The sequence below is a fragment of the Homo sapiens genome, chromosome 13 (assembly GCF_000001405.40).
Source record: "Homo sapiens chromosome 13, GRCh38.p14 Primary Assembly".
Taxonomy (NCBI): domain Eukaryota; kingdom Metazoa; phylum Chordata; class Mammalia; order Primates; family Hominidae; genus Homo; species Homo sapiens.
Window position 1 is genome coordinate 20,680,379 of NC_000013.11, and position 15,806 is coordinate 20,696,184.

The 15,806-nt window shown below is 41.6% G+C and overlaps 1 protein-coding gene across 50 annotated transcripts in view; it reads left to right on the forward strand.

Annotated features, from left to right (window-relative positions):
- IFT88 (intraflagellar transport 88) overlaps positions 1-11,066 on the forward strand; it is a 124,288-nt gene extending 113,222 nt beyond the window's left edge. For 36 of the 50 annotated variants that reach the window (NR_134653.2, NR_148462.2, NR_148463.2 and 33 more), the window contains 2 exons: positions 10,327-10,437; positions 10,676-11,066. Coding sequence is in view for 41 of the 50 variants with exons in the window: in XM_047430655.1 (XP_047286611.1) it covers positions 10,327-10,437; positions 10,676-10,797 (233 nt within the window). In the remaining 9 variants the exon portion in view is untranslated. Of the gene's footprint in view, positions 1-10,326; positions 10,438-10,675 lie in introns of those variants that run through there. The other 14 variants (NR_148465.2, XM_017020763.2, XM_017020762.2 and 11 more) reach the window with 2 other exon arrangements.
- Positions 11,067-15,806: the final 4,740 nt, after the last annotated feature.

Here is a 15,806-nt window from a genome sequence, read left to right on the forward strand (position 1 = left end):
AACTTTCGTTAGTGTATACCTCCACTGGGGGGTCTAACCATGTTTCTGGCTGTAGAAGTGGTGGAAAAGGAATATATGCCCAATAAGTATAATTGTCTTTTGTTTCAGCAGTCACTGGGGGAATACTCATGGCGATGGTGAGCACAGCCATCATAGCTACCATTAGATTACTCATTGTAACTGGTTGTCCTGCCTTCTTCAGATTTTCTTCCGCCATCTGTGTCAACTTCTTGATCTGGCCCCAGGGGGGTGGCTGTGCCCGACCAGTGTTGCTCGCCAGCACTTGTGTCTTCCTTATTGTCAGTCTCAACATGGCTGCAACCGGGGGGTCCTCGGGTTCCTCCCAAAATCTCTTCCTTGGCATCTGGCTGATGATAAGTTTTCAGGTATCTTGATGGTATCCAAATCAGCTGCTGGTTTTGGCCTGGAGAACACAAGCATAACCTCTACCCCATGTTATTATTTTACCTATTTCCCAACTCGTTGTTATCGAATCTCTCCACCAAACCAGTTGTTCCGCTTCTATCTTTGCAGCTGGTTTTGGTAGATGCCGTTCAGCTGCTGATAGCATCTGGCCTTTAGATAGGCTCAAAAAATTTAAAGTCAGTAATGCTAGATTCAGTTGCATGTGTGGAGTCCTATAATCACTGTCCCTGTTTCCCCCTTCTGCTTTTGCAATTGTCATTTTAGGGAGAGATTCATTCGTTCCACAATGGCTTGTCCTTGTGAATTATATGGGATGCCAGTAATGTGTTTAATATTCCATATAGAGAAAAATGTAGCTAGAGCTTGGCTAGTATAGCCTGGGACATTGTCCGTTTTAACAGAAGCTGGAATGCACATGACCGTGAAGCGTTGCAGAAGATGCCGTTTAATACAGGCAGAAGATTCTCCTGTTTGACAGGTAGCCCAAACAAAGTGAGAAAAATGTATCTACACATACATGCACATAAGCTAGTCTCCTAAACGAGGGAACATGGGTGGCACCCATTTGCCAAAGAGAATTAGGTTCCGATCCTCGAGGATTAACTTCTCCTGTAAAAGATGAGGAATGCACCATTTGACAAGTTGGGCATCGCTGGATAATAGCTTTAGCTTCTTTCCAGGTAATGCTGTATCTGCGTTTGAGACCAGAGGCATTAACATGGGTTAAATTGTGAAAGTGTCTAGCGTTAGATATTTCAGTAGCAGCTAGGCAATCAGCCATTTGATTCCTTGGAGTCAAAAGTCCTGGAAGAGTTGTATGAGCTCCAATATGAGTAATGTAAAAAGAGTGCATTCTGTTCCTAACTGTGGTTTGTAATTGGGTAAATAAAGTCATCAGTTGTTCATCTGTGTGGAATTGTAGCTGAGCATTTTCAACTAACTGTGTGGAATGAACCACATATGAAGAATCAGAAATTACATTGGCAGGCATCTCAAAAGCAGTCAGCACCTCAATTACAGCTACAAGCTCCGCTTTTTGAGCTGAAGTATAGGGCGTCTGGAAAACTTTACGTTTTGAATAAGAAGCTTTACCATTACTAGACCCATCTGTAAAAACATTTTCAGCACCTACAGCTGGTTTAGATTTAGTTATTCCAGGGAGAATCCAATTAGTTAATTTTAAAAGTTGAAATAATTTTGTTTTCGGAAAGTGATTATCAAGAACACCTACGAAATCAGCTAAATGGGTTTGCCAAGACTATTTATAAAGTCCTGTTGTGTTAGTGTTTTTGTAAGAGGGACAATAATTTTTCCAGGGTCATATGCATGCAATTTAACAGTTTGGGTTCTCCCATTTCCTACCAGAGTAGCAATTTGATCCAAATAAGGAATTAGAGTCTGTGAATTAGCATGTGGAAGAAAAAGCCATTCTACCAAGTCCTGCTCTTGGACAATAACACCAGTAGGTGAATGCTGTGTCGGAAAAATCAGCAAGTCTAAAGTCTTTGTTGGATCTATTCTATTTATTTGAGTTGTATGCACTTGCTTCTCAATCAGCTGTAAATCTGCCTCAGCTTCCTTTGTTAATTGACAAGGGCTAGTGAGACTAGGATCTCCTCTAAGGATAGAAAATAGATTACTCATGGCATAGGTAGGAATGCCTAGAGCAGGTTGTATCCAATTAATGTCCCCTGGTAATTTTTGAAAGTCATTCAGTGTTTTCAATTGATCCCTACTTATGGTTACTTTCTGTGGCACTACTGTAGTGACATTTACTAAGGTCCCCAAGTAGGAGTGAGGAGGAGCAGTCTGAATTTTGTCAGGACCTATAATTAAACCGGCTCGAGAAATCGAGTTTTGTAAGTGATCATAACATTGGAGTAATATTTCCCAAGTCGGGGCAGCACAAAGAATATCATCTATATAATGAATAATGTAACACTGTGAAAATTTTTTACAAGTAGGTTCAATTGCTTGTCCTATATAAGTGACAAATTGTTGGACTGCTTAACATGCCTTGTGGGAGCACTTCCCAGTGAAAACGCTTAGCAGGCTGCAGGTTGTTTACCACAGGAATTGTAAATGCAAACCGTTCACAGTCTTGCTCAGCTAAGGGGATAGTAAAGAAACAGTTTTTTAAATCTATGACTATTAAAGGCCAATTTTTAGGAATCATAGTAGGAGAAGGCAATCCTGGCTGCAGTGCCCTCATAAGTTGTATAACTGAATTAATGGCTCTAAGATCTGTCAACATTCTCCATTTACCTGATTTTTTCTTAATAACAAAGACTGGAGAATTCCAGGGAGAAAATGTTGGAGCTATGTGTCCTTTTTCTAATTGTTCAGTAACTAAGTCCTCTAAAGCCTCCAGTTTCTCTTTACTCAGCGGCCACTGCTCTATCCAAATTGGCTTACCTGTTAACCATTTTAAAGGTATAGGTTCTGGAGGCTTAACAATGACCGCCATCAAAAATGATCTAAACCCTGATGAGAATTCTGTCCTTCCGCTTGAAGCAGTTTCTTTAACCCTTGTAAATTTTTTCCTAATCCCATGCCAGGCACGTACCCCATCTCTTGTATCATATGCTGACTTTGAGGGCTATATAGTTGCTCAGGAATTAGAACTTGTGCTCCCCATTGCTGTAATAAATCTCTCCCCTATAAATTTATAGGTACAGAAGTTATAATTGACTGGATAGTCCCAGGTTGTCCATCGAGTCCTTCACAATGCAAAATATAACTGCTTTGATATACTTCAGGGGTTTTACCAACTCCAACTCTGTTAAATTGAGTGGGTTGAATTGGCCATGCGGATGGCCAGTGCTGTAGAGAAATGATGGAAATGTCCGCTCCTGTATCTACCAATCCTTTCATTCATTTTTTTCCTTGAATGGTTATTTCACAGGTAGGACATTTATCAGTAATTTGATTCACCCAATAAGCTGCTTTGCCTTGTTTATTTGTGCTTCCAAATCCTCCTGTTTGATTAATTTCACTTTTTCCCATTCCCACATACAGCACAGTCAGGAGCTGTGCTATACGCTCTCCTGGCTCTGCTTTCCAGGGAACAGAAGTAGATATAACAATTTGAATTTCCCCATTGTAATCTGAATCAGTGACTCCTGTATGTACTTGCACTCCTTTTAAATTTAAACTAGACCTACCTAGAAGTAATCCTACCGTCCCCACTGGCATCATCTGACTGGAGACAGCAACATTCTTTAACAGTCTCATTACAAAAGGAGAACCTGGTCCATATTGATTAATAGCTGGTTTAAATTCTTTGAGGAATTTAAAAGGAAAAGGCTCAAATGTAGCCATAATATTCCCCTGTTGATCAGGTGAGTATATTCTAACAGAGAACTGCCAAGCATCCATATCACCTTCTCATCTAGCTTGCTGGATTCCTGCCTAAATGGAACTGAGAGCGGTCGCTCGAGGCACTGCTGGAACAGTCACTGGGGCAGCTACTTTTTGCCCAGTGTCCTCTGGAAAAGAGAGATTTGGAGAGTCAGGCCACTCTTTTTCTTCAAAATAATGAGGGGGTATAGAGGGGTAGGGACAAACCTCTCCCTCCTTTGTCTCTTTAGCTGGCAAGCAAACCTGCTCTGTCATCTCTTCTGTTAGTTACTTCGTTACACTCTCCTTCTTCCTCTGATTCCTCCTCCTTGTCATCTATATAGAAAGGCTCCAAGGTGGAACAAACCACAATCCACACTGACCAGAGAGTTACAGGAATATCCTCAGCACCATCGTTGTATGCCTTTTTCAGTGTGCTGCCTACCTTTTCCCAGACCTCTACATTCATAGTTCCTCGGTCCTGAAACCAGGGGCAGTATTTCTCTACCACACTAAAAAGTTGCATAAGTCAGCTGGTGCTAACCTTCACTCCTTTTCTGAGGAGATGCCGAAGCAGACTCAAGCCTCGTGCCTGCTCGACCCTTGTCCCATTGTTACCCTGATGCTTCCGAGCTCCCCTTCTTACTCACCACAGGGATTGCTTAAGAGTACTCGGGTGTTCCCCAGCGTAGTTCCACGTTCTCCAACTGTCGCTTCGGGGCGACCCTTCGACCCGGGTTCAAGCCCCCATGTTGGGCACCGCTTGCCGAGACCAGCTCGGTCGTGGAGACCCTAACCCAGCAGCACTAGAGGAATTAAAGACACAGACACAGAAATAGAGTGCAGAGTGGGATCAGGGGGCTGACAGCCGTCAGAGCTGAGAGCCACAAACGGAATCTGACCCACATATTATTGACAGTAAGCCAGTGCTAAGCATTGCTTCTATAGATTATAGATTAGCTAGAAGCATTCCTTATGGGAAACAAAGCAATTTTAGCGAGGAGCAGAGAAACAGGCCCTGGCTGATTATCTGCAGCAAAAACACGTTGTTAAGACACAGGCTGCTCCTGCTATTGTTTATGGCTAGAGCAGTTTTCCGCTCCCGGGGGTGGGGGGGCCAGGTTTTCCTTGCCCTGCTCCAGTAAACCAACGACTTCTAGCAGTGTGTGTGATAGCCATCACGAGCATGCCACATTGCTGCAGAAATCCTTTTTATGGCCAGTTTCTTTAAGGCCTGTTTATGACAGGCTTAGGGCTTGCTACCAGCACAAACTAACCTATAAAATTAGCAATGAATTTTTTAAAAGGTAATTCCCAAGGGTAGCAAGGATGAGATGAGATGAGCACTGTTTATTAACTAAATTCTGCTGGGGGGAGTTCTAAGTGGCACACCCTGCTGGGAATGTTTGGAAATATTCATCAAGCCCTTTAAAATGCCCGTACCCAGCCGGGCATGGTGGCTCACGCCTGTAATCCCAGCACTTTGGGAGGCCAAGGCAGGCAGATCACTTGGATCACTTAAGGTCAAGAGTTCGAGACCAGCCTAGCCAACATGGTGAGACCCTGACTCTACTAAAAATACAGAAATTAACCGGGCATGGTGGCACACACTTGTAGTTCCAGCTACTCAGGAGACTGAAGCAGGAGAATTGTTTGAACCCGGGAGGCAGAGGTTGCAGTGAGCCGAGATTGCGCCACTGCGCTCTAGCCTGGGAGACAAAACAAGACTCCATCTCAAAAAATAAATAAATTAATTAAAATGCCCATAACCTTTGATAGGAACTTACTTTAAAGAAATAATTTTGTACACACATATTGATCACATTATTTATGGTAGAAACATTGGGAATAAACCAAATGTTCAACTGGAAATAATTCCAAGTTGAATTATGTTCTTCACAGTTGTGTCACCCTGGAGCAGTTATTACAGGCCCCTTCTTCCCCACTGTGGTGAGATCCCACATCGAGCTTCCTTGGCTGATCTTTAAGGGGGATGCTGTTGCCATTGGGAGCTCCATAGACTTGGATCACTTAACAGCTTTGAGAGATGATATAACTTCTAGAGACAATCTTATTTGCAGCTGGAGTGCAGTGAATAATAATCATCACACAATGTAGTTTCCTTTTTACTTTTCTCTAAGCAAAATAATGTTCATACAGAAATCAGTAAAATAAAAATGCAGGAAAGGCAAGTACTTTTATTGGATCTTTAAAATGTGTTATAGGTATGACATCATGGAAATTATTTATAGTGAATGCTTAAGGTAAAAGTCACCCACAGATTGTAAAGTTCCTGAAGGCAGTGGCTGCATCTCCTTTTGCCTCTGCTGGGTGTGAACAGCATAAGGTACTGAGCAGGAGCACAGTTAACACTCATCAGAATTTAAAATAGCATCGGTGGTGTTAAAGATAAAGAAATTGATACATTTTTTCTTATTTTCATTACTTATATAAATGTATTATGTACTCAGTTTCACAAAATCATTGTATTTAAATATGATAAAAATCTCTGCCGCAACCTGTTTAGAAAATTAGCAAAAATGAAGGACATTGCTTTTCATCTTCCCTGTACAGTTATTTTTTCTATCTTAAGTTTATTACTGCTATAAATTATTTTTATGCTCATAACCATATTCTTTCTAAATTAGTAAAGACTGTCTTTCCTTGGAAACAATTCATTTTTATTTGGAGAGAAATTTTCACCAAAGTTTATGTAGTTAGCCCCTTAACCTTACTTAATTTATTCTGTGAATAGAGCCTTTTATAAGACTCACTTTCTTGAACTCCTGGCCTCAAATTCTCCTCCTGCCTCAGCTTCCTGAGTAGCTGAGATTACAGGCTCAGGCCACCACACCCAGCTTAAAAGTCACTTTCTTACCAAAAAAAAAAAAAAAAAAAAAAAAAAACCTCATATTTAAAAACTACGTCACTCTAAAATGTTACAAATAGGTCATCTTCTTAGTATGCATTGCCTTGTAAAAACATTGGTCAAGTCGGGATGTAGTCGGCCACCAACTAGAAATGTGTTAAGATTTTTTTTGCAGACTTGCTTAATAAGGCAAGGAGGGGGTCAGGTTGTTCTGGGGCCAGCAGAAGGGTCTAAAATACAGGGTAGTGAAAAGAGATTAGAGATTGTGAGTTTCCTTTAAATGCTTAACTGTCATTATTAAGACAGCCACATTTTGTGGGGCGAGCCAAACTGCTGAGCTTGGAATAGCATATGCTTGGAATCTGAATATGAATAAGGCCCAGGTGCCACACTTTACACACAGATCCTTTGCTAAAGAGGCACTATTTGTCTAACAGGCAAGGACCAGGCTGGCAGTCAGGAAGGCTGGGTTTTGGTGCTGATCTTGTCACCAACTATGCACTCTTGAACAAGTCACTTCACTTCACTATCCTAAGCCTGTTTTCTCATCTGAAAAATAAAGGGGTTAGACTTAGCCTTTTAAATGACATTTTTGTATATTTCTACTGGCTATAAAATTATTACAAATATCTATGTCTGACGGTAAGATAGTCTAAATATTCAGGAAAACTCCAAGTATAGCTCTCCTAAAAATGATATGTTGCGTGTTAAAAAAAGAAAAAAAAGAAAAGAAGAAGGGGGAGGAAAAAATAAAATGAAAAAAACTTCAAAAATGCACGGCTGAGTTGGTAGCAAAGAAGGAAATTCTTTGGAGGCCAAAAAGATCTAGAAAGTTTAAATCCAATGTGCAGGAGCTGGCATTGCCTAGCTAATCCCTCATGATTGAGAACCTCAGATTATAGACACTCATGGGGACCAAGAGATAAGGCCTGGGGCCTCAAAAAGGCCAGAGCAGAGGTCGGATCAAAGAATCCCTGTCACAAAGCTAGGACTTCTCACTGGCAATACTCTGAGTAGGCCAAGTCGGAAAGAGGCCACTCTGGCCGGGCACGGTGGCTGAAGCCTGTAATCCCAGCACTTTGGGAGGCCGAGGCAGGCGCATCACCTGAGGTCAGGAGTTTGAGACCAGCCTGGCAAACAAGGTGAAACCCCGTCTCTACTAAAAATACAACAACAACAAAAAAATTAGCCGGGCGTGGTAGCGCATGCCTGTAATCCCAGCTACTCGAGAGGCTGAGGCAGAAGAATCGATTGAACCCGGGAGGTGGAGGTTGCAGTGAGACAAGATCACACCATCGCACTCCAGCTTGGGCAACAAGAGCGAAACTCCATCTCAAAAGAAAAGAGGCCACCCTACAGATGATGGATTTTCACCTTGGTTCTAATGTAGAAAACAAGAAGAGCTCTTTTGATAATTCCTAACCATAAGTAAGCCTTCACTCACATAGTTTTGGAGCTAGAATACATATTATATCTGTGTGTTCTGAAGAACACCAAGCTGAAAATTTGATTTAAAGTGGACTTCAGTTGGTGAGGCTACAAGGTGCCTACAAGAAATAAACTTAAATCCTCCTTGGAGGAATGCACTTTTAAGTTCCAAAGAATAAGAACCTACAGTTAAGAAAAAGTATGCATGCATGAGGAAATAAGTCACTAAGAGTAAGCAACAACAGAAACTATAGAGTCCAATCTTCAAAGACTACAAATATTGTAATTATTATTTATTTATATTAGAGATGGGGTCTTGCTGTATCACCCAGGCTGAGTGCAGTGGTGCTGTCATAGCTCATTGCAGCATTGGACTTCAGGGCTCAAGTGATCCTCCCATCTCATCCCCACAAGCAGCTGGGATAATAGGTGCATGCCACTCTGCCCAGCCAAGTTTTATTTTTTATATAAGCACTTTATTTTTATTTAATTAATTAATTTATTTATTTATTGAGACAGAATCTCACCCTGTAGCCCAGGCTGGAATGCAGTGGCACGATCTGGCTCACTGTAGCCTCTGCCTCCCAGGCTCAAGCAATTCTTCTGCCTCAGCCTCCTGAGTAGCTGGGATTACAGGTGTGCACCACCACGCCCGGCTAATTTTTGTATTTTTAGTAGAGACGGGGTTTCACCATGTTGCTCAGTCTGGCCCCGAGCTCCTGACCTCGTGATCTGCCTGCCTTGGCCTCCCAAAGTGCTGGGATTACAGGCGTGAGTCACCGTGCCCGGCCCCAGGTTTTATTTTTTAAAGGTTTGCTTTTTCCACAAAATTTGAATCTTTCAGGCTAGGAATTTGGATTTGGATTTCAGAAGGGTTTTGGGTGCCTGAGGGAGCTATCAGGGTTTTGTTGGTAATTTACATCTGTGTAAAAAGTGAAATAACGTTGTCGTATTTACTAATGAGGATGTGTTTCTGACATTCCACAGTATTCCTCAGTGAGCAGTTCTGTGAGGCATTTCCATCTTATCTCTGTAATGAGAACACCTACATTTTTGTGGAGACATTGGTTGTCATATCTTATGTACCCATGAGTCAAAGAACTGTGTATGCCCTTGCCCTTCGTTGACTGCAAACCCTAAGGCAAGAAGGCCTGTTTGGACCACTCCCTGCCAACTTTGTTTTATGTTTCTCACCCAAACTTTTCTTCTCACATACTCATTCATCTTTTAAAAGATTGCTATATAGTTATTGTGTATATATTTGGTGGCTTATCTTAAACCTTTTTGGAGACAGGTAGGATATACATTATTCAGAAAAAAAAAAGTAAAAGAAATATCCCTAGAGCAATGTTTTTCAAACTTTATTGACTTGAGCTCACTCAGGCAGTTTAAAAGACACCCGTATACATTTCTGCATGGAAAAAATTAACTTTTGTTTTAACAAAAAGAGAGGGACAAAATAATGTAAAATATACTAAAGTGTGTAGACATATTCAGTACACTAAAGAGCTTTATTTTCCCGTAACATCAGTGGTAGGGGAAATGGTAAGGTTTTGGATAAGAACCTTAGAGAAGACTTACTATTTTGGGTCAGTTGGCCAATCTTAAAATGTGGGGATTTTAAAGACCATCTTGTTCTGATTTATTCCCAGAGACATTATCAGTAAACTAAAAGACAAACTATATTCAAAAACGAAATGGTCAGTGTGTTTATCAGTGGACTACTCTCATTAAAAGTGAGGCTTACATAATAGAAAAAATATCACTCTAGGAATTCTAAGGGGAAGAAAGGAAAACTGTGGGGCTAGAGGAGTACTTTTAGAAAATATCACAGAAATTTCTGGTTAAAAAGTACTACTAACATTTCCTACTAATGTTAGTGTTCAGTTTTATCTGAAAATCCTCAGTGATACATATTACATTTTTTCCTAAGGCAGCCATTGCCTATTTGGGCAATTATAAGAGTCAGGGTGATCTCTTACTTTCTCTTAAGTTCTTCCATAAAATTGAAACCTATAAGTAAGCACACATTTGAAAGAATACATATACAGACTACTCTTAAGTGATGTTTTATCTATATTATAGATTCCCACAAGATATTTCTTTTAAATTTCAGAAAACAAGAATTATATCCCTAAGAAGCTGGCTTCCAAATTAAACAACCTGCTTGTTTCTTGGCAAATAAGTATGCTTTAAGATGCATAATGTAGTTTTATGTTTTCTCAACATATTAAACAAATGCATTTTTATTTTCGTGTTTTCAGATAGTGGCCAGAACTATAGTGCCAGTAGTAAAGGTGAACGACTAAGTGCCAGACTCAGAGCTTTACCTGGGACAAATGAACCTTATGAAAGTAGCAGTAACAAAGAAATAGGCAAGTACTCTCCACCCAGTTCCTCCAGGCATAGCAGGTCTGAAGAAGAATGGTGAGATGGCCAAAAGGTGTTGCTGGGAATTCTTAAGAATTTGATATTTACAGATAAAATTTAAAATGACTTGGGAGACCATTTCTGTTCACTCTGAGTTATTCATTTTGACTATGAGCCTGATTGGTTTCACATTTGTTTTGTTTGTTTACATAACTCTAACGTGACAATCTCTTCGAAACCTAGATGCCTCCTATGTGGACCCACTTGGCCCTCAAATAGAACGACCAAAAACTGCAGCCAAGAAAAGGATCGATGAGGATGATTTTGCTGATGAAGAATTAGGAGATGATTTGCTTCCAGAATAATATTCACTTTAATATTTATTAAAGGAAAGAAATTGCCTTATGAGATCATCCTCATGTTAAACCTTGGATTAAATATCTAACCTGTAATTATTTTTTTTCACTGTCAAAACTTAAGTAAGTGTATTCTATTCTGTATGTATGCATTTAAGTTGTTTTTTTCTTTTAAGGAATAAAAACAGGTAAAACTAATACTTTAGGCCAGTGACTTCCTTAGCTTTTTGAAAACATTGACACACAGGAAGAAATAAATTTCATAACACAACCTAGTACATATATGTGTATGTAGTCATAAAAATTTACCCTTATTATTGCAATACATGCTAATATTTTCTATAGTTTCATTCAAACAAAGTGCTAGTAGTGAAGCCACTACATTGATTTCATGGCTTGCAGATTGAAAAATGCTGTGTGGACATAGGCACAATTTCTATTCATACTTAAATTGCTTGGAGTTTGGAAATTCTTTGGAAGATTTGCCTTGTGGGGATTAGAAACACTATTAAAACAATTATGTTTTGGAAGCAGTATAAAGGGTAATGGGATTAAATACCAAACCATAACCCTAGTGCTCCTTTCCGAAGTTCCTTTCTACTTCAGCCCGGGGGTGTGCACCAATAGCACAGAGCAGTAACAACTCTAAGATGGCTTTTCCCATTTGTGACTTAGTGGGTTGGGGGCAGGACTGCCTGCATTTTTCTTTAACAATGTGTTTGGCTGGTCTAGAGTCTCCAGAGGAATTATAATGACGAGGATGTCAGAAGCAGTGGCTTATCTCTAACACTATACCAAAGAGAATGGACCCCTCAATCTTACTTACCATTGTCTCTGCAACGTGCATGCTACTGTTAGATGCGAGGGAGGAAAACCAAAACTAGACCACATTCCTTGCTCCCAAAGTAGGTTATGCTCTAATTGATGAGACAGCCAACAAATACAGTAAACATCCAGTATGTGCAGAGAATTCATTAAAATTTGGGGGATACAGTAGTGAAAAAGAACTATACCTTGCCCTCAAGAAGCTTAAATTCTGGTGGGGAGATGGAAAATATATTTTGTTTGTTTGTTTGGGTTTTTTTTGAGATGGAATCTCACTCTGTCGCCCAGGCTGGAGTGCAGTGGTGCAATGTTGGCTCACTGTAACGTCCACCTCCTGGTTTCAAGCAATGCTCCTGCCTCAGCCTCCTGAGTTGCTGGGATTACAGGCACGCACCACCACACCTGGCTAATTTTTGTATTTTTAGTCAGACGGGGTTTCACCATGTTGGCCAGGCTGGTCTCGAATTCTTGACCTCATGATCCACCCACCTTGGCCTCCCAGAGCTGGGATTACAGGCATGAGCCAGCGTGCCTGGCCAGAAAATATGTTTTTAAAGGACTCTAGATATTGTTAATTACAGTTAAGAGAACAAAATGGAGTAATGCAATAGGTAGTGATTATAGAGGAGGGACTCTAAGAGGTGGCCTTGGTAATAACACTAGAATGGTGAGAAGAAAGCAGTGTTCTGAGCAGAAGGAGCAGCAAGTGCCGCACACTGAAAAATGAATGATCTGGATGTGTCACAGGGTTATTGAGCTACAGTGATAGTGAGAGGGTTTGGGATCCAGCAGTGTGGGTGGTGTGCTACATGGGCAGGAAAGGGAAAGGAGATGAGATCCAAAAGGTAGGCAGGGTTCAGAGCATGTACAGCCTTATAAAGACAGTTTGGATCTTATTCTAGTTACTATAGAACACCTGCTAGAAGGTTTCATGCAAGGGGGGTGAGTGAAGTGCTTTCATTTAACCTTTAGAAACCAGTCATCACACTGGTCGCCATGAAGATGAAGTGGGCAAGTGGGATGGAAGGGAAGAGTGGAAACTACTAGCAGTAGCCTGGGTAAGAGATGAAAGCAATTGAGACAGGTTTTTAGCAATAGAAAATTGTGAGAAGTGGTCAGATTCAGCATATATTTGGAGGCAGAGCTGAGACTTACTAATGGATTGGATGTGGATTGTGAGGGAAAGAGAGGAAAAGATGATGCCAAAATTTGTGGCTAAGGAACGGAGTGGCTAGTGTTGTCTTTTTAGTAAGATAGATTTGGGGGGGAATAAGTAGATGTGTTTTACCCATGTTAAATTTGTCTCAAGCATTCAATTTGAGATGCGAAGAATGCAGTTAATCTTTAAAATCTGGAGGTCACAGAAGTGAGGGCTACAGGTAGAGATGTGGGATCCATCTATGTACACTTCGTACTTAAAACCATGAAACTGAATGAGATCAATTAGGTCTGAGAGTGAGGCTAGAGAAGAAGTATAAGCAATGTGCTTGTGAGTACCAGAGAAAAAGGATGGCTCAGCAGAAGAGACTGAGAAGAGCAACAAGTGATGTAGGAGGTTTCAGGATTCAAACTTCCAGTTCTGAGAAGGATGCAGTAGGTCATGGAAGCCCTCCGTAGCAGCTGGGAAAAAAAAACAAATCATTGCAAAAATCATGTCTTCAAAGTCTCTGGAGATCTGTGGAATCAATAAAACTAAAAATTGCAGAGAGGAAAGAGCCTTTTTTTTTTTTTTTTTTTTTTGAGACAGAGTCTTGCTCTGTCGCCCAGGCTGGAGTGCAGTGGCACAATCTCGGCTCACTGCAACCTCTGTCGCCCAGGCTGGAGTGCAGTGGCGTGATCTCGGCTCACTGCAACCTCTGCCTCCCAATTCTCTGGGTTCAAGCAATTCTCTGCCTCAGCCTCCCAAGTAGCTGGGATTACAGGTACCTGCCACCATGCCTGGCTAATATTTATATTTTTAGTAGAGACGGGGTTTCACCATCTTGGCCAGAGGGTGGACTTGAACTCCTGACCTCGTGATCTACCCGCCTCGGCCTCCCAAAGTGCTGGGATTACAGGCGTGAGCCACTGCGCCCAGCCCAAAAGAGCCATTTCTAAATGAACTGCTGATCCTGCCTGTTTTTCTGGAGACATTCACCAGTTCTAGGCATGGGCTAAGAACTGCACTTTCCTCAGGGAAAAGGCGTCATCTAGAGAAACTAACAGAGCTTTTAAGGTGGTCATTTGGGGTTGGCATGACAAACTGGAAACTTAGAGAAGCCCCAAATGTATGGCTGGCTTTCCACCATGGGGCATTTGCTGGAGTGCTGCTTCAGCTGGGGTAATGCTGGAGGCTAGGGAACTGGGATGGAGGTTTTAAGGGCTTAAATCTCCCATAGTTCTTAGGGGACGATGTCCTGCTAGGGGGAAAGGCTTTCCACAAGATATTTGCTATTTAGTCTACCCTCAAGATAATTGCTATTTTGGGGGCCGGGCATACTGGCTCACACCTGTAATCCCAGCACTTTGGGATGAGGCGGATGGATCACTTGAGGTCAGGGGTTTGAGACCAGCCTGGTCAATATGGCAAAAACCTGTCTCTACTAAAAATACAAAATTTAGCTGGGCATAGTGCTCGTTTGTAATTCCAGCTACTTGGGAGGCTGAGGCAGGAGAATCTCTTTAACACAGGAGGCAGGGGTTGCAGTGAGTCAAGACTGCGCCACTGCACTCCAGCCTGAGCAACAGAGCAAGACTCCGTCTTGAAGAAAAAAAAAAAAGATATTTGCTATTTTTTGAATCTGCATGGGGGCAGGAGGCTAACAATCTAAAGTCAAAACCTGGAGGGACCAACTTGACTCTTTTTCCATCTTTCTCAGCTGAGGAGACAAATCTAGGCTCCTAATCAAAAGCCTAGAAGGACAAACATGAATCAACGGTGGACTGACCCTTATACAAAAACTGCAGCCCAGGCTGGGTGAGGTGGCTCATGCCTGTAATCCCAGTGCTTCTGGAGGTTGAGGCAAGAGGATTGCTTGAGGCCAGGAGTTCAAGGCCAGCCTGGGCAACATAGTGAGACCCTGTCTCTACAAAAAATAAAAAAATTAGCCGGGGCATGGTGGCATGCACCTATAGTCCCCACTATTCGAGAGGCTGAGGCAGGAGGATCACTCGAGACCAGGACTTCAAGGTTACAGTGAGCTGTGATTGCACTCCAGCCTGGGCAACAGAAGGAGACCCTGCAACTCAACTCAATCCTTGACTGGATTGAAGTAATTAGTCCTGAATTCTCTCTGCCTAAGAGAGGAAAGAGGACCTTTCTATGGTAAGAATATCATTTGCAGTCTCTACGGTTCTTATATATACAATGCTTGGCATGTAATAAAATTACTGTGGCTGGGCGCAGTGGCTCATGCGTGTAATCCCAGGACTTTGGGAGGTCAAGGCGGGCAGATCACGAGGTCAGGAGATCAAGACCATCCTGACCAACATGGTGAAACCCCGTCTCTACTAAAAAATACAAAAAATTAGCCAGGCGTGATGGCAGGCACCGGTAGTCCCAGCTACTCGGGAGGCTGAGGCAGGAGAATGGCGTGAACCCAGGAGGTGGAGCTTGCAGTGAGCAGAGATCGCGCCACTGCACTCCAGCCTGGGCGACAGAGCGAGACTCTGTCTCAAGAAAAAAAAAATTACTAGAATGCAAGGAGTCAAGAAAATATGACCAGCAATCAAGAGAAAGTATAAATAGAAGCAGTCCTCTAGAAAATCCAGATAATGGATTTAACAAACAAGGACTTTGTGACTAGTGTGTTAAGTTAATAAAATGGATAAAAAGATGGAAAATTTCAATTGAATGTTGGAATCTGTGAAAAAGAGTCAAATAACTTAAAACTGAAAGACACAATATCTGAAATGAACTTACTTGGATGGATTGAACAATGTACCAGACACAGCAGATGTCAGGATTAGTGAGTAGGTCAATAGAAAAATATCCAAACTAAAGCAAAGAGAAATAAGACTGGCAAAATAAAGCAGCTGACAAGAGACACTTGGGACACAGTCAAGAGTTTAAATAATTATAATGGGAATCCCGGAAGGAGTGGAAGAGAGAATAGGGTAGAATTAACATTAGAAGAGATAATGTCTACAATCTCCCCAAATTGAAAAAGACATAAAGCCACAGATTTAGGAAGTTCAGTGAGCACCAAGGAGAT